The sequence below is a fragment of the Homo sapiens genome, chromosome 6 (genome assembly GCF_000001405.40).
Source record: "Homo sapiens chromosome 6, GRCh38.p14 Primary Assembly".
Lineage (NCBI taxonomy): Eukaryota > Metazoa > Chordata > Mammalia > Primates > Hominidae > Homo > Homo sapiens.
In genome coordinates, this window is record NC_000006.12 from 84,177,499 (window position 1) to 84,200,951 (window position 23,453).

At 37.9% G+C, this 23,453-nt stretch overlaps 1 protein-coding gene across 12 annotated transcripts in view; it reads right to left on the reverse strand.

Moving 5' to 3' along the window:
- Positions 1–23,453, reverse strand: part of CEP162 (centrosomal protein 162) — a 103,394-nt gene that overhangs the window by 53,249 nt on the left and 26,692 nt on the right. For 11 of the 12 annotated variants that reach the window (XR_007059227.1, XM_005248674.5, NM_001286206.2 and 8 more), the window contains 5 exons: positions 23,291–23,407; positions 17,386–17,577; positions 16,111–16,192; positions 8,834–9,125; positions 7,689–7,950 (listed from right to left, as the gene is read on the reverse strand). Coding sequence is in view for 11 of the 12 variants with exons in the window: in XM_005248674.5 (XP_005248731.1) it covers positions 7,689–7,950; positions 8,834–9,125; positions 16,111–16,192; positions 17,386–17,577; positions 23,291–23,407 (945 nt within the window). In the remaining variant the exon portion in view is untranslated. Of the gene's footprint in view, positions 1–7,688; positions 7,951–8,833; positions 9,126–15,063; positions 15,149–16,110; positions 16,193–17,385; positions 17,578–23,290; positions 23,408–23,453 lie in introns of those variants that run through there. The other variant, XM_011535592.4, reaches the window with a different exon arrangement.

The following is a 23,453-nucleotide window of genomic DNA, read 5'->3' on the forward strand; positions in this document are numbered from 1 at the left end:
CCCACCCAGAGGTTCACAATAAAAGCATGCTGAATAATCTTTATTTATTTATTTTGAGACAGCATCTTGCTTTGTTGCCTAGGCTGGACTGCCATGGTGCGATCTCGGCTCACTGCAACCTCCGCCTCCCAGACTCAAGCAATTCTCCTGCCTCAGCCTCCCAAGTAGCTGGGATTACAAGCGTCTGCCACCATGTCCAGCAAATTTTTTGTATTTTTAGTAGAGACAGAGTTTTACCATGTTGGCCAGGCTGGTCTCGAACTCTTTACCTCAAGTGACCTGCCCACCTTAGCCTCCCAGATTGCTGGGATTACAGGTGTGAGTCACTGTGCCTGGCCTGAATAATCAATATTAGTTCAACACTCTTTTTAAAAGTATGAAAACTGTGACTTGGACAAGTTGAGTGAATAGCCCAAGGACACACCGTTATTTAGTGGCCAAGTTGAGATTAGGAAAATAATTGTATTGAATTAACAAAGTAAAGGCACTTAATAATGCTGTCCAAATAAGGGAGCATTATTTTATTATGATATAATATTATTTCTGCACTCTAGGAAAAGTCAGTATGTGAGACTTAGAATTTGTAGCAGTCTAGATTTTGGCTACTGCCAAACTTTTTATTACATTTTTAAATATATTTGGATCCTGAATCAAATAAACTGTAAAAAGTTATGACATTTATGAGATATTTGGCTATTTAAACTTGACTGGATATTTAATAATGTTAAAAAATTGTTACGTTTTTAAGGTAAGATAATGGTATGGTGTTTTTTTTTAAGTCCTTATCTTTAAAGATGCATACGGACATATTTGCAGTTGAAATAATCTAATGTCTGGGTTAGCTTCAAAATAAAAAGAGAGTAGCTGGAAATGAAGATGAAACAAGATTGAATAGGAGTTCATAATTTTGAAGCTGGGTGAGGGATAAATGGGATTCATTAACCATTTTATTTAAATTTGCATATGTTTACTTTTTTGGTAATAATTTAAATTTTTTCAATAAATTTATTCAACCATTGAGCATCTTTGCAAACTTTTAAAGTATGCTTTGATTAATACAATTTTGAGGAACATCCCTAGGGGATGTAGTAAGGGGTAACCTTTGCTTAATACCTGTATGTGCAAGATGCCAAGCTAGCCACTTTGCAAACCTTATCTCCTTTTCTTTTTTAAATTTTTTATTTAAGTTCTAGGGTACATGTGCACAACGTGCAGGTTTGTTACATATGTATACATGTTCCATGTTGGTGTGCTGCACCCATTAACTCATCATTTAAATTAGGTATATCTCCTAATGCTATACCTCCCCGCTCCCCCCAACCCCACGACAGGCCCTGGTATGTGCTGTTCCCCTTCCTGTGTCCAAGTGTTCTCATTGTTCAATTCCCACCTATGAGTGAGAACATGCAGTGTTTGGTTTTTTGTCCTTGCGATAGTTTGCTGAGAATGATGGTTTCCAGCTGCATCCATGTCCCTACAAAGGACATGAACTCATCCTTTTTTATGGCTGCATAGTATTCCATGGTGTATATGTGCCACATTTTCTTAATCCAGTCTATCATTGATGGACATCTGGGTTGGTTCCAAGTTTTTGCTATTGTGAATAGTGCCGCAATAAACATACATGTGCATCTGTCTTTATAGTAGAATGATTTATAATCCTTTGGGTATATACCCAGTAATGGGATGGCTGGTTCAAAAGGTATTTCTAGTTCTAGATCCTTGAGGAATCGCCACACTGTCTTCCACAATTGTTGAACTAGTTTACACTCCTACCAACAGTGTAAAAGTGTTCCTATTTCTCCACATCCTCTCCAGCACCTGTTGTTTCCTGACTTTTTAATGATCGCCATTCTAACTGGTGTGAGATGGTATCTCACTGTGGTTTTGATTTGCATTTCTCTGATGGCCAGTGATGATAAGCATTTTTTCATGTGTCTGTTGGCTGCATAAATGTCTTCTTTTGAGAAGTGTCTGTTCATATCCTTTTCATATCCTTCACCCACTTTTTGATGGGGTTGTTTTTTTTCTTGTAAATTTGAGTTCTTTGTAGATTCTGGATATTAGCCCTTTGTCAGATGAGTAGATTGCAAAAATTTTCTCCCATTGTGTAGGTTGCCTGTTCACTCTAATGGTAGTTTCTTTTGCTGTGCAGAAGCTCTTTAATTAGATATCCCACAGAAATACAAACTACCATCAGAGAATATTATAAACACATTTCTGCAAATAAACTAGAAAATCTAGAAGAAATGGATAAATTCCTGGACACATACACCATCCCAAGACTAAACCAGGAAGAACTTGAATCCCTGAATAGACCACTAACAGGCTCTGAAAATGAGGCAATAATTAATAGCCTACCAACCAAAAAAAAGTACAGGACCAGACGGATTCACAGCCAAATTCTACCAGAGGTACAAGAAGGAGCTGGTACCATTCCTTCTGAAACTATTCCAATCAATAGAAAAAGAGGGAATCTTCCCTAACTCATTTTATGAGGTCAGCATCATCCTGATACTAAAGCCTGGCAGAGACACAACAAAAAAAGAGAATTTTAGACCAATGCCCCTGATGAACATTGATGCAAAAATCCTCAATGAAATACTGGCAAACCGAATCCAGCAGCACATCAAAAAGCTTATCCACCATGATCAGGTGGGCTTCATCCCTGGGATGCAAGGAGGGTTCAACGTACGCAAATCAATAAACGCAATCCAGCATATAAACAGAACCAAAGACAAAAACCACATGATTATCTCAATAGATGTAGAAAAGGCCTTTGACAAAATTCAACAGCCCTTCATGCTAAAAACTCTCAATAAATTAGGTATTGATGGGACGTATCTCAAAATAATAAGAGCTATTTATGACAAACACACAGCCAATATCATACTGAATGGGCAAAAACTAGAAGCATTCCCTTTGAAAACTGGCACAAGACAGGGATGCCCTCTCTCACCACTCCTATTCAACATAGTGTTGGAAGTTCTGGCCAGGGCAATCAGGCAGGAGAAAGAAATAAAGGGTATTCAATTAGGAAAAGAGGAAGTCAAATTGTTCCTGTTTGCAGATGACATGATTGTGTATTTAGAATACCCCATTGTCTCAGCCCAAAATCTCCTTAAGCTGATAAGCAACTTCAGCAAAGTCTCAGGATACAAAATCAATGTGCAAAAATCACAAGCATTCTTATACACCAATAACAGACAAACAGAGAGCCAAATCATGAGTGAACTCCCATTCACAATTGCTTCAAAGAGAATAAAATACCTAGGAATCCAACTTACAGGGGATGTGAAGGACCTCTTCAAGGAGAACTACAAAACACTGCTCAACGAAATAAAAGAGGACACAAACAAATGGAAGAACATTCCATGCTCATGGATAGGAAGAATCAATATCGTGAAAATGGCCATACTGCCCAAGGTAATTTATAGATTCAGTGCCATCCCCATCAAGCTACCAATGACTTTCTTCACAGAATTGGAAAAAACTACTTTAAAGTTCATATGGAACCAAAAAACCAAAAAAGAGCCCATATAGCCAAGACAATCCTAAGCAAAAAGAACCAACCTGGAGGCATCATGCTACCTGACTTCAAACTATACTACAAGGCTACAGTAACCAAAACAGCATGGTACTGGTAAAAAACAGAGATAGAGACCAATGGAACAGAATAGAACCTCAGAAATAATACCACACATTTACAACCATCTGATCTTTGACAAACCTGACAAAAACAAGAAATGAGGAAAGGATTCCCTATTTAATAAATGGTGCTGGGAAAACTGGCTAGCCATATGTAGAAAGCTGAAACTGGATCCCTTCCTTACACCTTATACAAAAATTAATTCAAGATGGATTAAAGACTTAAACGTCAGACGTAAAACCATAAAAACCCTAGAAGAAAACCTAGGCAATACCATTCAGGACATAGGCATGGGCAAGGACTTCATGTCTAAAACACCAAAAGCAATGGCAACAAAAGTCAAAATTGTCAAGTAATTACTTTAAATAATGGCACATGAGCAGTACTTTATCCTTTTACACATGAAAAAAATTTGCTTGAATATGAAATTTAAACATGAAACACTGCAGTATTTGGAACCCACGAAACCTTCTTGAAATAGCAATGCATAAGAAAATTCAGTCAAAAAGAAACCAATCAAAATAATTCTACAATAGAGAAACTATGGCTAAGAGACAAGTGAAGAGCATTCAGTCTCTTTAATAATCAGAACCAAGAATTAAATCCAAAAGCTGAGAGAAATTAAGGTTGTAGGAGAGAATATATTAAATGTATCTTAAAAAATAAAATAAAAATGAATAGGAGGCATGTAAGTTGGGGATATAATATGCTTTATATTTCACGGAAGGGAAGGAATCGATTGGTAATGTCTAAAATTAAAAAAGTTAAGAAACAACACTACAGTTATGGCAATCTTTGAGTGTTTTTCATAATCTCTTTCCTTAAAGATTTTTCATAATCTTTTCCTTGTATTTTCAGATATACAATTTCTTAGGAAGAAATTTCTTTTTCTTCTTATAGATATAAGTAAACCTAGATCTAATATCCTATTTTAAAAGAACCTGTAAAGTGTAATCTCATTCTTATAAAATATTTTGTCCATTTATCCACATCTGCCTCTCTACTTCCGTCCATTCATTCACATTTCCTTCTATTATATAAGTATATACATAGTGAGATGCATGGAATCTGCTCACCCAGCATAACAACAGTTGTTTCTGGCTAAATCATTGCAAGCATTCTTTCACTTTTCTGTAATTTTGAATTTTAAATAATAAGCATATATTAAGAATTTTTAATTCTTAATAAGAGAAGACAATAATAAGTATTTTTGTCCTTTCATGGCAAAAAAAATACTTAGTCTAAAAATAAAAACACAAGTTAGAGCCAAAGAAAATTAATCAAAACTAAAAAGGAAAACAACAACATGGTTGGTACTGCTAACTGCCAACCTTCTCTTCCTTCCTATTAATAAATATCTAATTCTGTCCTGAGCAGCAACGTACATAAACGTACTCAACCCCCTGAACTCCATTCAACTTACGGCCACAAGATCAAAGGTCATTAAGATGGATGCAAAAACTTTCCTGGGTTGATGGTTTGGCTGGCATCTACCTTTTACCTTTCACCCTACCTCATGGACAGGGTCCGGAGGCAGAGTAGCCATTGTGACAGTTAAGACAAAAGTCACATACTAGGGATTTTGCATCAGGAAAGACAAAGGGATCTGGTTCCTTGCACAGCTTTCCAGCCATGAACTGCCTATCTCTGGACTCTTTGTTACATAAAAGAAAAGATGCCTTTAATTTGGTTAAGTTCCGGTAGTTGGGCTTTTTCTTCATCCTAACCAATGTTGATTTTAATTTTAACTGCATTCTGTATATTTTCTGAACACTAATCTCATCTCAAACTCTGCTTCTTGGAGAACTCAACCTTTGACAAGTAACCACTATCCCAAAGGAATTATAGTTCCTCTGAATAAAACTAAAACTTCTCTGGGCAATTCTTCAATAAAAAACAGAGATTAAAAATATCATACTTAATATTCAGTCTAATGAGAAAAAGTAGTTCAGTTTAAAAACATTTATGGTCCATCATTATACTTTACTATAAATTTTAATAATGTGTTTTTTTTTATTTTGGATGTCACAAATGCTATACAATTTTAAAATATGAAAAATGAGTTTAAGAATATTATTTCACTTTACTCATAAAAATATTAGTCTTCATCTAGCAACCTCCTCATCATTCCTCTCATTTCTTTTTCACTCACTGTGACATTACCTCTGTCTTCATTCTTGGTCATTTCAGCATACTCACAGGTGATCCTTTCAACTCCCTGGCTTTTGGTTCCTTGAACTCCTTTCCATCTCAGATACTCATTCCCATTGGCATAGTTTAGGTCTTTCCTAGACTATTATAAGTAATGCAATCACTCCCCAGTCTCATTCCCTCATCTAATCACCTACTATGACTATCATCTTTGTTTTGCCACCTCACACCCTCTGGTACCCAGATTCCAATAATCCTTTGACCTCACTAGGACTCACAGTCAATGGATCGTACCTGTTGCACATTGTGTCACACTCCATTGATGCCCTTTCTTCCTTCATTGCTCAGCTTAAATTCCATGGTCAACCATTTTAATCACTTTTACACACATCATCAGCTTCACTTGGCAAAAATGTATTTCTTGGTAAACCCAACTGTTTTACTAAGTACACTTGGTTAAACAGTTGGTTAAACAAGTTGGTTATTTAACTTGTTAAACAACAACTTAATTGTTATTTAAGTTTAAATTCATGATCACTAACTTTAATTAGACTGCCTTGGCTCCTGACAGTCTAACTCTCCTAGATGGCTACTTCGTATCTTCTCTTTTCTCTTGTAACCTCCAAAACACCTTTGCCTAATCCTCATGCGCATCTAATGATACTGCTTTCTATTTCTCAGAGAAAACTGGAGCTATCACAAAAAGCATTCTCTCCTCACCACATCTAACCACCTGCCAGCATATACTCTCCCTTCCTATCTGCCTCCACAGTTCCTAGAATGCAGGAACTAGCCATGTTACTGTGCACATGATCCCTTCTTCCACTGTGCACCAGATCCCGTTACAGCTCCTCTACTCAAAAACATTGCTAAAGCAATTCTTCCCTCACTCTCGTACATTGTCAATTATTTTTCTTTCTATCAAATCTTTCTTAATGTCATACAAACAAAACAATCATTTATTTCATAAAAACAAAGCAAAGCAAAAATGTTCTTGGTCTCACCTTCCATCTCAGCTACTGGCCCATTATTTTGCTGCCTTTTACAGCAGCTATCTGCAGCATGGTCTATAATTTGAAGCACCATTCCACTCCTCCTATTCTCGCTTACTGCCATTTAATTTGCCTTTTACAGCCACCTCTCCATGGAAACTGCTTGTCCACTTTATTGATCATCTCCTCCTTGCTAAACCCAAAGAGCAGTTCTCAGTCCTCATCTATCTTAATCTCTCAGCAGTAAATGACAGAGCAGTCCTTCTTAATATACTTTGTTGACTTGCAGGATTCCACATGCTCTCAGGATTCTTCCAACCTCACTCTGTTTCCTTTGCAGGTTCCTCCTCTTCTGCCTGATCTCTTCAGGTTAGCATGATCAGGGGTCTCAGGCCTTGGCTTGCTCCTTTCCTTCTATCTATGCTCACTCTTTTGGTACTCTCAATCAGATTTCAACAACTCCCAAATGGTATCTATAATCTATATTTCCCTCCTGGACTCCAGAATTTTATATCTGACTGCCTCCTTGTCACTTCTGCTTGCATGTTGAATAGACATCTCAAAACTATCATTTCAAAAATTAAACTCCCAGTTTTCCCCCAACTGTCAAATCTACTCAGTCATAGCTTTCCCCATTCCAGCTGAGTGTAACTCCATTCTTCCAGTTGCTCAAGCCAAAAATCTTAGCAACCCAAAACCAATTCTTCAGATTTTTGGTTCTACCTTCTAATATGTCCTTATCTAACTACTTTTCATCACCTACACTGCCACCACCCTGGGTCAAGCCCTGTTGCCTCCTGCAAATTGAATCTTACAAATGGAATGTGGTACCTTAATTCTCTTCCATGGAAGCAAAGAAAGTAAAACAATATACTAAATAAAGAGTATATGATTACCTTTTTTCCTAGGTTGATTGGAGGTAGAAATCGATCTCAAGTTTTTGCTTTTTATAATGTCCTCTGAAGTTTTCTTTTCAAGAGTAGAAAACATCTTGAGTGGTGAACTGGGTTTGCCATAGCCTGAGCTCCTAACTGACGCATATAATCCACTCTGGGGTTTCCTTTTAAGTAAAGGAGGTGCACTTCTGGCCTTCTTGTATGGTACCTGTTTACCCATTACAGCCCCTTCTTCTTCAGAACTAAGTTGAGATCTGTAAGTCTGTACACAACAAACAAAAGCTCTTTAGTACCTAAATAAACTTTAACTATTGTTGTAAATGAATATTTAATAGATGGCAAAACAATAGTGATTATCAAATAATGTAGTTTGTAAAAGGCAAACTACCATAGTTAAGTTCTTGAAGTCTAATGCATCAGAATTTTAGTATTTTGAAGCAGACCTTCAAAGTTAGCATTGAAACAAAGTAAAGCAAAATAATAAAGCAAAATTAGCTTGCCAGAAACCAAGATGTGTAATTACTTGAATGAATGCAGCAGAAAGAACATATTTTGAAATGACATAAAATCTTATTTGTTATCTGAACTTCTCAAGATGCTTTAAAAATTTTTATTAATACCTTGCCTTATTCCACAAAGAACTGGAGATGACTTAAATACATAATTCAAAATTATAAAATACAAGTAGAATGTCTGAATCATGGGAACTATAAAGCAGAAGAGATCAAGAATACAGGAAAAATAATCAGTAAAATGTAAATTTCTTCACAGGTGTTAACTGCTTTCCTATAAAACGCCAACTTAAAAAATACAAATGACTGGAAAGACTGAACAGTGCATACTACAATGATGAATAAACTTTTTCTTATACTATTTAAATTCTGGACTATATTTTATTCAAAAAAAGGAAAAAATGTATAAAGAATGGCTTCTAAAAGCAAGCTAATGTTATGGTGGTATTTTTGAATTTGGGGATTGGCTAGCATTGTAACAAACATCACTCACAAATATCCAAGATCTACTGTGGAGGTTAGTATATAATCAATCCCACTAGTTTAAAAAGCACACACCTACCAATAGTACTTATATACTTTACATAACTTCGGTTCTCAATCTCTCAAATCAATTTGATGATAAATACTTACTTTATTAATTTTGTCATCCTGAGATAATGATGAAGAATTAACAGTTATTTTTTTCCTCAAAATATTAAGGTACATTTTATCAACATGTTCTTCTGTGGCAGTTACTTCAGTTACTTGTGGACAGCTGTTTTCCATACTCTCATTTGTGGTCTTTTGTAAAATCACATTCTCATCATTTTTGTCAAAAAAAAGGTTCACATGTTGTGAGTCTTGAGACAAAATATTTGGGTTCATCTTCAGGGGTAAAGAGCTAAAAAATTCAGTTTCTTTTCTTTCGGCCACTTTCTCAGAGCTATAAAACAAAACAGGACACAGATAATGAACCCTATGTAACAGCTTTTCAAATATCAGTAATAACCACGTGTGTGTGTACACGCAGACACACTATATATTTGAATTGTTAACTATTCAAATTAAGTTAATGATGTTAAATACAGTATAATTTTGATTAACAGTACACTCACATAGTGTAATTGCTTTTAATTTCGGATAATAATTTTAATGCAGTATAATGCAAAGGATTATAAAGGTGATGCTGAGATCTATTTTAGAGAAAGACCAAACCAAACAAGACTGAGACTGCTTTTGTAGAAGAAAAGTAAAATACAAATTTCTAAGTGAACTTTTTGTAATATATCTTTTATCTACAATTTCTTATAAAGTCGACATGCATTTGAAATAAGAAAAACATTTTAAACATTTCTAGAAGAAACTAAAGAAATAATCATAAATTTGTATTAAGGAGGCATAGAGTATAAATACTAAAAAAGCATATATTTAATCACAGTATAGGAAAAATTTTAATGTAAAACAGAAAAATCACTAGGCTTTGAAAAGAAAATCATTTCTGTGGTTTAAAACACTTAAATGTAACAATTCAATTAGATATTAAATACCTAGAAGATACAACGTAAGGAAATGTTTTAAATGCGGTTAAATATTGGCAAACTACAGGGTCTCCAAAAATATGGGAACTGTTAGTCTTAAAATATTTAATCGTGTGTCAATTAGGCCATTTAATTTTATAATTTATAAAATAAGATTAAAGAATGTTTAAGAGGCTACCATTTTCATATAATGTAGATTGGCTTCTTGGTAACTGCTAGTAGGTGGAATCATCAGAAATATAATAGTTCTTTCCTTCTTCATAGCAGCAGAACCTGGCTAGATGCTAATCAAAATTGTTTCTCATTCTTGCTGGGTACCAACTAAACTATATTTCCTTGCCAACTTCCATCTAGATGGGACCATTTACTAGTTTTTCCCTTTAGAATGTGAGTGCTATGATGCTAAGAACCCAACTTATTTGTTACTGGCTTAGTTGTCAAGTTTAGGATGGCAGGAAACTGATAACTAGAGTCTGGAGAGACGGCAGCCTATGTTTTACAGTGGCAAAACATTGCTAAACTGTCATCTACAAAAGTTTATAAGGCAGACCACATGCCAGCCGACCATGGAGAACTAAGAGAAATGACTGGAAAGAACAAGGAGTTAAGTGCTGGCTACTATTAGCTTCTTTTAACAAGATATTACCAAAAAACTGATGAGCTCAACACAGAATGAGCTGGTTTGTAAGCAGAATTTAAAGAGAATAGAAGGAATCTAGAAACTCTGGAAATGGGTTCTCTCTCTGTAGACTCAGTCTGTAAGATTCAGCCTTGAAGAATGCTATGAAAAAGCAAGATTTCAAGAGACTTCTTGGTTGAAAAGAGTGACCCAGTCCCTTAGCAAAGATCATATTAAGAGTGTCATCCAGAGTGAGACTCCGTCTCAAAAAAAAAAAAAAAAAGAGTGTCATCTTCACATTTAAGTATTGTTTCCCCAAATATCCAGAGAACTGCAAATAAACGCAGAGAAAAAAATTAGAGGGACAAGGAATCAAATATTAAAGCAGATTTAAAACCTTTGTCTAGCAAAGAACTTTTTTTTTTTAAACTTTTATTCCAGGTTCAGGGATACGGGTATTGTTCACGGGGATTTGGTGTTCAGACTATTTCACACCCAGGTAATAAGCATAGTACCCAATAGGTAGTTTTTCGATCTTCACCCTCCTCCCAACCTCTCAAGTAGGCCCCAGTGTCTGTTGTTCTCATCTCTCTGTCCATATGTACTTGATGTTTAGCTCCCACTGATAAGTGAGAACATACAGTATTTTGTTTTCTGTTCCTGCATTAGTTTGCTTAGGACAATGGCCTCTAGCTTCATCCATGTTGGTGCAAAGAACGTGACCTCATTCGTTTTTATGGCTGCATGGTATTCCATGGTGTACATGTATCACACTTTCTTTATCCAGTCTACCACTGATGGGCATATTTAGGTTGATTCCATGTCTTTGATCTTGTGAACAGTGCTGCAATGAACATATGCATGCATATGTCTTTATGGTAGAACAATTTATATTCCTTTTGGTATATATCCAATGATGAGATTGCCGGGTGAATAGTAATTCTGCTTTAAGTTCTTTGAGAAGTCGCCAAATTGCTTTCCACAATGGCTGAACTAATTTACATTCCCACCAGCAGTGTATAAATGTTCCCTTTTCTCTGCAACCAGCATATTTTTTTTTGTTTTTTACTTTTTAATAATAGCTATTCTGACTGGCATGAGATGGCATCTCATTGTGGTTTAATTTGTATTTCTCTAATGATTAGTGATGTTGAGCATTTTTTCAAATGCTTGTTGGCTGCACGTCTTCTTTTGAAAAATGTCTGTTCATGTCCTTGCCCACTTTTTTTTTTTGAGATGGAGTCTCGCTCTGTCACCAGGCTGGAGAGCAGTGGTGTGACCTCGGCTCACTGAAACCTCTGCCTCTTGGGTTCAAGCGATTCTCCTGCCTCAGCCTCCCGAGTAGCTGGTGAGAGGTGACAGCATGCTGGCAGTTCTCAGAGCCCTCGCTTGCTCTCGGCACCTCCCCTGCCTGGGCTCCCACTTTGGTGGTATTTGAGGAGCCCTTCAGCCCCCCACTGCACTGTGGGAGCCCCTTTCTGGGCTGGCCAAGGCCAGAGCCCACTCCCTCAGCTTGCAGGGAGGTGTGGAGGGAGAGGCACGAGCGGGAACCGGGGCTGCGTGCGGCGCTTGCGGGCCAGCTGGAGTTCCGGGTGGGCATGGGGTTGGTGGGCCCCGCACTCGGAGCAGCCAGCCAGCCCTGCTGGCCCTGGGCAATGGGGGACTTAGCACCCGGGCCAGTGGCTGCAGAGGGTGTACTGAGTCCCCCAGCAGTGCTGGCCCACCGGCGCTGCGCTCGATTTCTCGCCGGGCCTTAGCTGCCTTCCCACAGGGCAGGGCTCGGGACCTGCAGCCCGCCATGCCTGAGCCTCCCACCCACTCCATGGGCTCCTGTGTGGCCCAAGCCTCCCCGACGAGCACCACCCCCTGCTCCACGGCGCCCAGTCCCATCGACCACCCAAGGGCTGAGGAATGCGAGCACACGGCGCAGGACTGGCAGGCAGCTCCACCTGCAGCCCCGGTGCGGGATCCACTAGGTGAAGCCAGCTGGGCTCCTGAGTCTGGTGGGGATGTGGAGAGTCTTTATATCTAGCTCAGGGATTGTAAATACACCAATCAGCACCCTGTGTTTAGCTCAAGGTTTGTGACTGTACCAATCGACACTCTGTATCTAGCTGCTCTGGTGAGGACGTGGAGAGTCTTTATATCTAGCCCAGGGATTGTAAATATACCAATCAGCACCCTGTGTTTAGCTCAAGGTTTGTGACTGCACCAATCAACACTCTGTATCTAGCTGCTCTGGTGAGGACGTGGAGAGTCTTTATATCTAGCTCAGGGATTGTAAATACACCAGTCAGCACCCTGTGTTTAGCTCAAGGTTTGTGACTGCACCAATCGACACTCTGTATCTAGCTGCTCTGGTGGGGCCTTGGAGAACCTGTGTGTTGAAACTCTGTATCTAACTAATCTGATGGGGACGTGGAGAACCTTTGTATCTAGCTCAGGGATTGTAAACGCACCAATCAGCGCCCTGACAAAACAGGCCACTTGGCTCTACCAATCAGCAGGATGTGGGTGGGGCCAGATAAGAGAATAAAAGCAGGCTGCCCGAGCCAGCATTGGCAACCTGCTCGGGTCCCCTTCCACACTGTGGAAGCTTTGTTCTTTCGCTCTTTGCAATAAGTCTTGCTACTGCTCACTCTTCGGGTCCACGCTGCTTTTATGAGCTGTAACACTCACTGCAAAGATCTGCAGCTTCACTCCTGAGCCCAGCGAGACCACGAGCCCACCGGGAGGGAACGAACAACTCCAGACGCGCTGCCTTAAGAGCTGTAACACTCACTGCGAAGGTCTGCAGCTTCACTCCTGAGCCAGCGAGACCACGAACCCACCAGAAGGAAGAAACTCCGAACACATCTGAACATCAGAAGGGACAGACTCCAGACGCGCCACCTTAAGAGCTGTAACACTCACCGCGAGCGTCCGCGGCTTCATTCTAGAAGTCAGTGAGACCAAGAACCCACCAATTCCAGACACACTGGGACTACAGGCATGCGCCACACGCCCAGCTAATTTTGGTATTTTTAGTAGAGACCAGGTTTCACTATGTTGGCCAGGATGGTCTCGATCTCTTGACCTCATGATCCGCCTGCCTCAGCCTCCCAAAGTGCTGGGATTACAGGCGTAAGCCACCGTGCCCAGCCTACTTTTTAATGAGGTTGTTTTTTGCTTGTAAATTTGCTTAAGTTCCTTATAGATTCTGGGTAGCAAAGAACTCTAAGTTTCATTATTGGCACATGGAATTCACTGGGACCAAAGCGATTATTAAGTTACGAAACTTTCTGAAAGAATATAATGTAAAAAACCATAACCCTGTTCAAAAGAAAAAAAAAAAAGAAACCCAAAAGTCAGTGACTGGGAACCTTAAAGCTACCTGTGGGCAGGAAGTGGATTGAGAAGGGAGTGTATCCCCCAAGATGGGCATACCCCTCAACCTAAAATTCACTTCAGTTGTAGCCAATGGTGATAACATACAAGACAAATCCTCCAAGGAATGGAATGAGGGGCTATATAGAATAACTGATTTAAGGTAGCCCCTTCTTAATAGAATAATAACCTAATCAAGGAAAATAAACCCCTATTCCCAAGGTAGGGGGCCTTTACAAGTTCTTTCCAGTGGTTCTCAAAGTTGTAACATTGATTGCTGTGTTTTCCTCATACTTTTCCTTGCTGAAAGGGTGTATCTACTGGTTCCACCATTATATATTGGGATGGGGGTGAGGAAGTATATAACCCTGTCTTTTTAATTATAACCCTGTCTTTTTAATTCAACCATTGGTACACAACGAGAAGCATACTCAAACCTGATGGAGAGGACTGCACTTCACCTGGAAATCCTGGCCTTTCAGATGCATATAGCCCTGAATGGGACTTGGGGCTGCCTGCTTGGGGAAGGGGATAAGTTGGTCTGTGTATGAAGAAGAGTGAAATTGATATTTTGTTATTAGAAAGGTATATCCTGGCAGAGACTGACTAGATACTGACCAAACTCATTTTTCTTTCTTGGCACAGAAACAAACGACATTTCACAGCCTCCTTGGACCTAGTTAGCTAGATGTGCTGGTTCCTACCAATGGAATGTGAGCTGAAGTGATATGAAACTTCTGTATTAAGGCAGTTAAAAGAAAGGACGCAAAACCATTCTCTTTCTTTCCTTACTGACTGGTTGGATGATGTCATAACAATCTTAAAACTATGTGTTGATGACAAGCAGCCTGGGTTCCTAAATGACTGTGTGGAGCAGAGCCCCAATCCAACCCCACTGACCCACAAGGGATAGTGATGTGAGCAAGAAATACATTTTTGATGACAAGCTACTAAGATTTCAAGGATTATGTTATAGCAGCTAGGGTCATTTACTCCATAGTTTACCAAAAAATTTTTAGGTATGTGTACTAAAGATCATATTACTGACATTTCTATTACGTATGATTACTGTTATACCTTCAAAATATCTGTTTTAAGCTTTTAAACACAAATGTAAAAATCTGTTTTAGAATTCCTATTACTGAAATGGTTTTACCTATAACAACAAAGATATAAGATGTGTAAGAAAATCTCTGTAGTTACCGCTAACATACTCCCAAACAGCAATGATGAGTGGTACCATCTCTCCTTTAAAAATACTAATTAGCACTACAGATCAATGGAAGACTACTACACTTAGCATTGAAGTGAATGAATTTTAGTGGAAGGTTCACTGCATCATTTTTTTCTCAACTCACACAAATGTAGAAACAAGGCCAGGAGATCACCACATGTGGATTTACATCATGAGGATACAGTATAGGAAGGAGGCTGAAAACATGTCTGTTGAAGACACAAATGAACAAATGACAACATGAATGGATGACAGACTATTTCACAGAAGTATTTTATGGAGATCAAAGACCTGACAATGTAAGTGGTTAAGCACATGGATGGCCTGTGTTCCTGGTCTACAACTATATGACCTTGGGCAATGGCTTTATTTATTTTAATCTCTTAGGCTTCAATCTTCTTGTCTATGAAATAGGGATAATAATGGAGTATAACCCATGGAGATGCTGTAAGGTTAAATTAAATAATATACGTATAGTATGTGCCCAAAGTAAATGTGAAAAATGTTAGCTGTTATCATCTACCAGTAAATTGAGTTAATCTCAGGTGCATTTCTTGAATTATGGGCATAAAGATGCATTCTCTACTTGTTATGAGGATCACGTGGGAGACTGGACATGACATTTCAGTGCTACATAAAAGCAACGCTGTCTATTACAAGGTTACTGTGACATGTTACTCCGTGTTGAAGAATGACAGTGGGTCACACATACTTCCACTAAACTGTATTGGACCTGAAGCATTTTAATGAGGACCATTTCTCTTGTGGCTACAAACTCACCCTGTGAGATGACAGCCAGTCTGTGACTAAGTCAAAACTAACTGGTTTATAAAGAAGGAAATCTATGACTCATAAACATAATAAAATTCACTTTCTCCCTCATCATGAATGAACTGTTCCGGCACTATTTAAAGCTGAGGAGACTGTATTTTTCAGTGAAAACCTTTAGGACTATTTAGTGGCCCCAGTTTTTTTATAGCATCTATTTATTTTTTCATTTAGCCCTAGAATTTTGATGACTTGAGTAAGGACAAATATAAAAAGAAGAGAGTTATGACTCACAGGTAGAGTCAAGCTAGTATTAGTCATTAATCATTCACTAGGAATGATTACATAGAACAAATGACTATAAAAGTTTCCAATGACAAAACAATAAATAAAAAATTCATACCTGACAGGTTGTAAATCAAAACCACTGATCCCAAAGGAATCTATTCTGATAGGTTTCATCAGCTCCTCTACTGTGGGCAGATCTAAGAGGTGGAAAAAAAAGTAGAAACGAAAAATGTTATGTAGGTTGCTTAATTTACATGTGTAATAACACCAAAATTATATTTTCTCTGACACAGTTAATAAAACGGTACATGCAATAAACCTAGTTTTCCGTCTTAAGTTTCCTTATACCAGGAAAACTTCCTTTCTTATGAAATATCAAATAAATATCTCAAATATCAATATCAAATATATTTATCAAAAAATATCTATACATACACACACGCTAAGTACATATTTGGTTGATCCTGAAATACTGTTGTCTAACAAAATACAACTTTAATATACGTACATACAAAAGAGTAAAAAATATCCCTTTAAATGACTTCTTAATTTGATCAAGGCATATTAGAAAAGAAACTGGGCCAGGCGCAGTGGCTCATGCCTGTAATCTCAGCACTTTGGGAGGCCAAGGCAGGTGGATCACCTGAGGTCAGGAGTTCGAGAGCAGCCTGACCAACATGCCAAAACCCCATCTCTACTAAAAAGACAAAAATTAGCTGGGCATGGCAGCAGGCACCTGTAATCCCAGCTATGCAGGAGGCTGAGGCAAGAGAATTGCTTGAACCAGGGTGGCGGAGGCTGCTGTGAGCCGAGATCGTGCCATTGCACTCCAGCCTGGGCGACAGAGCAAGACTCCGTCTCAAAAAAAAAAAAAGAAAAGAAAAGAAAGTGAAATTTCGTTTTGTGTTTGGCTCTAATTTTATAGTTAAACCAAGGGTTCCTGTATTTCATTTGAAAAAATCTTTTTTTTTTTTTTTTAAGGCAGAGTCTCACTCTGTTGCCAGGCTGGAGGAGCAGTGGCGCAATATTGGCTCACTGCAACCTTCGTCTCCCGTGTTCAAGTGATTCTCCTGCCTCAGGCTCCCGAGTAGCTGGGACTATAGGCGTGTGCCACCATGCCCAGCTAATTTTTGTATTTTTAGTAGAGATGGGGTTTCACCATGTTGCCCAGGATGGTCTCAATCTCTTGACCTCGTGATCCACCCACCTCGGCCTCCCAAAGTGCTGGGATTACAGGCATCAGCCACCTCGCCTGGCTGAAAAAATTTCTTTAATTAAGCTCAGAGACTGAGAAACAATCACTACAGCAAATTGTATTTTAATTATATTACACTAAAAACTCTTTAGAAAGGATATCAAATAATTGAAAAATTCATCTGTAAGTTTTTACCAGATTCCATAGTAGAGATGTTTTTTGAATTCTCTTCATTTTCTTGAGGATGACCTTTCACTGAGCTCTTGATATCTTCCACTGTGTTACTCTCAATTTTTTGTTTGTCTTCATCTCCCAATGAATGGGCTATATGACAATAAGCTTGATGTAGGGCTTCAACGTCACTACTGCTTTGTCCATAAGAAACACCTGTTGAAATAAACGTAATCACCAGAAATAATTACATCACAAATACATGAGAACGATAAAACACTAATATCATTCCTTAACCTGTTAGGAATATAAAAGTAGAGTTAAGTACTAACTAGGTAATTTGCAGCTATGGCCTACCAGCATGGATTCATAGCAGGCTCAACAACTCTTTTAGCAAACTGAGGCGTGTCCTGATGTGGTAAGCATAAAATCTGCTTTCACTCGTCATTGTTCTTTCTCCTACTATTCTTAATCGACCCCCTCTGCATAACTATTCTTAAGTTTCCCAAACTAAAAAATTCCTTTGACGGATTCTACCTCTCCTTTACCATTACCATTCTCTCTGCTTCTCTGTACCACCAAGCATCTTGTCATTTGCACTTTTTCAACCACAATGAATTCACTCCTCCAACTTTGCAATCCAATGTATTCCAACATCCTGCTAAAGCTGCTATGATCAAAAGCAATTTCCTAATGACCAACTCCATTTGTATTTAGTTCTCTTCAACTATGTGAGACATCTGACATTATCTTTTTCACTTTATCTTAGCCAAAAGGCAGAGAAGTCAAACATTGTTTTTTTTCCTGTAACTGTTTCTTCTGCATGCCTTCTTCTTTTTGTTATTACCATAATTTTGAGGGCAATTTTCCAACTCTTGCGGTCTATAGTTCATTTCAGGGCTCCATCTTCAGCCCTCTTCTTTTGAATGCCTCTCACTTACTAGTTTTTTGGCCTGGCTAACTTCATGAAGACTTTTAGCTTCAACTATTACCCATATGCTTATGACTCCCAAATCTATGTCTTGTGTCCTTATAACTCTTTTCTGAATATCAACTTAACAGACATCTAGATTGCTCTATATCACATCTACATATTCCCCAACTGAATTCATTATATTCCCTACTAAAACTTGTTCTACTACCAGTATTTCCTAATCACATCACTACTCAGTCAAAATAGAAACCTTGATGTCATCATTCACTCTTCCTTCCCTATTAGCCTTCTGATATGGTTTGGCTGTGTCCCCACCCAAATCTCATCTTAAATTGTAACTCCCACAATTCTCATGTGTCATGGGAGGGACCTGGTGGGAGGTGATAGAATTATGGGGGTGGGTCTTTTCTGTGTTGTTCTCATGATAGTGAACGAGTCTCATGAGATCTGATGGTTTTAAAAACAAGAGTTTCCCTGCACAAGCTCTCTTTGCCTGCCGCTATCCATGTAAATGTGGCTTGCTCCTCCTTGCCTTCTGCCATGATTGTGAGGATTCCCCAGCCATGTGGAACTGTAAATACAATAAACCCTTTTTCCTGTATAAATTACTTAGTCTTGGGTATGTCTTTATCAACAGCATGAAAATGGACTAATATACCTTCTCTTTCCACCAACTGACAAATTCTAGAAAAAAGAATTCAAATAATTTAATGAAAATAATGATTGCATATTTTTGAGTACTTTCTTGCTTATTTTGTAATTTTCATTACTAACAAGTGGAATTTTCAAAATTAGAGGAAAATAATGAATCACGGAAGAGAGGGAAAAAAAGAAGAAAAACAGGTGACTAATCTCTTCTCTTCATACCCATGGTTAATTAACCAGTTATTAAAAATAAAATAGTATATATAGTCTCATCTTCCTGTATATACAATGTAAGTTGTGTATATACACAACTTCTAAACAGAAGAGATAGCCAAGTGGTACATATAAGATTGTATAAGAATGCCTTACAATGAGATGTCTTTCTAGCTAGTGCTTCAGGTCCCCATGGCTACATGAAGTATATCCAAATAACAAGTTTGCTTAAATAAACTAAAAACAGAAGAGGATACTGCTAAGGAAGAACTGTCAACAGTTGAAGGGCAGAGATTTTCAAGAGGACATGAGGAAAAAGGTCTTGCTTGCAGCATGAATGAAAGAGGTCATTAATTTTCAAGAAAAAAGGAAAAGCACACGGTGTCTTTTTTTCCTCTATAGAAATATCAGGTTGAGCAAGTATCTGCTGAGCATACATAAAAGAAATGACTTCTATGGTAAAGACCATAGTAGTATCAAATGCTCATACCTAATTTAGTAGGTATGAGGTGTCAGAAAGAATAGATTCTAGGCTTTTAAGCAATAACAGAGCAAACATGCAGAAAAACAAATGACCTAAAAGTTAGAAATGAGAAATGGAAAAAAAAAAAGGAGGTAGGAGAGGCTGCTCAAAAATGGCAGGAAAATGGTACTTTTCTAACTTGAGTTATTAACCTAAGCCATATTAAAATTAATTTAATGGTTATGTAACTTTTTTCCATGCATATCATGAAAAGGGGTTGTAACTTTTTTCCATGCATATCATGAAAAGGGGTTCCTTATCTGCCTTTTACATTGAAAACAGAAGACTCTGTAGTTATTTTATGTATTATTATTACAAGTCAAAAGCTCCCATATTTTTCAACTTTAGAAAATTGAGGCTAGGCACAGTGGCTCACGCCTGTAATCCCAGCACTTTGGGAGGCTGAAGCAGGTGGATCACCTGAGGTCAAAAGTTCAAGACCAGCCTGGCCAACATGGTGAAACCTCGTCTCCACTAAAAAAAAATACAAAAATTAGCCAGGCGTGGTGGGGTGCACCTGTAATCCCAGCTACTCAGGAGGCTGAGACAGGAGAATCACTTGAACCCAGGAGGTGGAGACTGCAGTGAGCGGAGATCATGCCACTGCATTCCAGCCTGGGTGACAGAGCAAGATTCTGCCTCAAACAAAACAAAAAAAAAAAAAAAAAAGAGAGAAAGTTGAGAAGTGCTAAATACTGTTTTGCAGAGGAAAGGGGTCTAGTTTCATGGAGCAACACTGTCATCCTGTGACGACTCCAGTAATGCAGACATAGCACAAAATGGTACTTGCCTGTGAGACAAATGAAAATAAGTGAAAGGTTAGATTTAGCTTGGTGTTAGGAAACCTTAAGTTTTATATTTACTAACCTCTTTGATACAGCAAGGCACAAATAATTTCATAAATAATATTCTTAACAAAAGAGAATCTTTGACAATGTTTAAAGTTAGCCAATGTTTGAAAATTAACCAATGTTTAAGTTAACTGCTTAATACATGAAGTGGCATGGTAAAACAAAACAAAAACCCCACTGAACTTTTCAGTTCTTAAACCTAGTTCACATACTCATTTGAAGACTTTCAAGTATATATTTTATTTTATTTTATTTATTTATTTATTTTTTGAGATGGAGTCTTACTCCATCACCCAGGCTGGAGTGCAGTGGCATGAACTTGGCTCACTGCAACCTCCGCCTCCCAGGTTCAAGCGATTCTCCTGCCTCAGCCTTCTGCGTAGCTACAATTACAGGCATGTGCCACCACACCTGGCTAATTTTCTGTATTTTTTAGTAGAGACTAGGTTTCACCATGTTGGTCAGGCTGGTCTCGAACTCCTGACCTCAGGTGATCTGCCCGCTCCGGCCTCCTAAAGTGCTGGGATTACAGATGGGAGCCATTGCACCTAGCTGAAGACTTTAAAGTATATATTTTAAATATCAGAAATTCAATACCTCAAAGCCAACAAGTGTTTATACTGTATAACTCTAGGTTCTCTACTATAGCATGTATTATTAACAGAGGGTTGACATAAATAATGATGATAATAACAACAACAAAGTTGTAACTGTTTAGTGAATCTTAAAAATGTGCTATGTACTATATATTATCTCAGTTGACCATCAAAAGGGTTCATTTTAAAGAAGAGAAAACATGCTTAGAAGTACTCATTATCCAATGTCACAAAGCTGGTTAAGTGGCAAGCTTTAAGTTTTAAAAACTTAACATTATAATAGAACCTAATCTGCATAATACACAAATGTACCATTTATGTAACTGTAATAATCTGAAGACATTATGTAATTATAATATTTTAAATAATTTTTGCTTTCTTTTTTACTGGTTTTAATGCTCATCTCAGAATAAAGTTTCTCTGGTCATCCTGAACACATGAACTTCCTATAAAATACTGTTAATCAGAAAAGTTGTAGCTGTACAATGGCCTTTTAAAAAAATTCATGTCTGCCTACTGAAAACTGTGCGAGGGGATAGACTATCAAAGCACGTATGTGACACGGTTCCTTAAATCAACAGCAGTAAAACTGAGGGACATGCACTCAGCACATGCTTACATCATGGTAGAATACTCAGTTGGGCAACAAGTGAGTAATGTGTCTCGATGGGAAAATTATGTCTTATAGTTGTAATTTTTTTACCTTTATATTTTAAAATGAAAGTGGATGTAACAAGTCAAAATAGTGGTGACTCTTGGAAAGACAGTGACTAGAAATAAGAGATGTGATGGACATTGTGGTTTAGGTCCTCTTGTTTTTTATCTGGTTGCTGATTACATGGGTGTGCTCAGTATTTCAAAATTCATTGAGTTGCACTATTGTGATACCACAGACTTTTCTATAGGTATACTATATATCAATTAAAAAGTAAAAAGCAAAAAAAAAAAAAAAAGAATGAAATGCAAGCTGCTGACGGTTAGTGATTTCTGAGTTGGTTAGCGATTTCTATTACTCTTTTTTATCAAGTGTCTGAATTGGTTTAGTTAACCAGTATCCATAGACTGCAAAGCAAGCTGATTAAAAAGTTCCCATTTGCAGCTATTTATGTGATAAAATAAGAATATTTTTATACTATTCAACAAAAACAAAAAACACAAACACATTGGACGGCTGATGGTGATATGAGACCATAACAAATCTCAATAGTTTCTAATTTCAAAAATTCCAAAAGACCATTACTGTCCTCATCTATTTTATGAACAAATGTAACAAACATAAGTTTAAATATTTATCCTGATAAAGTATCATTTTTACCTATGAGAGAGTTCTACATAAGATTTCAACTGGGCCGGGTGTGGTGGCTCACGCCTGCAATCCCAGCACTTTGGGAGGCTGAGGCGGGCGGATCACAAGATCAGGAGATTGAGATCATCCTGGCTAACACGGTGAAACCTTGTCTCTACTAAAAAAATACAAAAAAATTAGCCTGGTGTGGTGGCAAGCGCCTGTAGTCCCAGCTACTTGGGAGGCTGAGACAGAATTGCATGAACCTGGGAGATGGAGCTGGCAGTGAGCCAAGGTAGCGCCACTGCACTCCAGCCAGGGTGACAGAGCAAGACTCCATCTCAAAACAAAACAAAACAAAACAAAAAAATAGATTTCAACTGAAGATGTGCATTCCACTGCTTTAAAAAATTTTGAAAAGGCATTATCTCAAAGACCTTTATAAGCTTTAGGAAAGTCTAGTTGGTCTCAGGTATTTCAGAATTTGGGGATGGGGTGTAGCTTTTTCCTAGAGAAAGAACTATGGAAAAGCACAATAAGACCAAAGTCCCATTTCTCCTACACATGGCAGATTTAACTGAATACTCTGGAGAGGCATAGAAAATTAGTTAACGTTCACCTACAGTGCTACACTATTATCAACAGCATTTATTCATTTATTAACAAATATTTATTTAAAACCTCACTTTACTTGGCCTACTAGCATTGTGTCACCATCAGCAAGTTCCAATTATTTAAATTATTATTATGGTAGAAAAATGTCAGATTTAAAGTTTTCATTATCAATATAGTTATTATATATATATTTCCTTAGAAATGTAGTCATATTAGTCATAAAGCATTCCATATTTAGAGAACAGTCAGGTTTCTAAACATTTTTACCTGTTCCTGTCATTTCATTCTCAGTCATTTCTGGTAGGCACCTTGGCTTAGGTGTTATTTTATCTTGTTCATCAAGATTGACCTCTGCAACAGAGTCTAATGAATCAAGCAGCACAACTGGAAGAATATAAAAGAAAAATATAAGGAATGTAGATAAACTCAG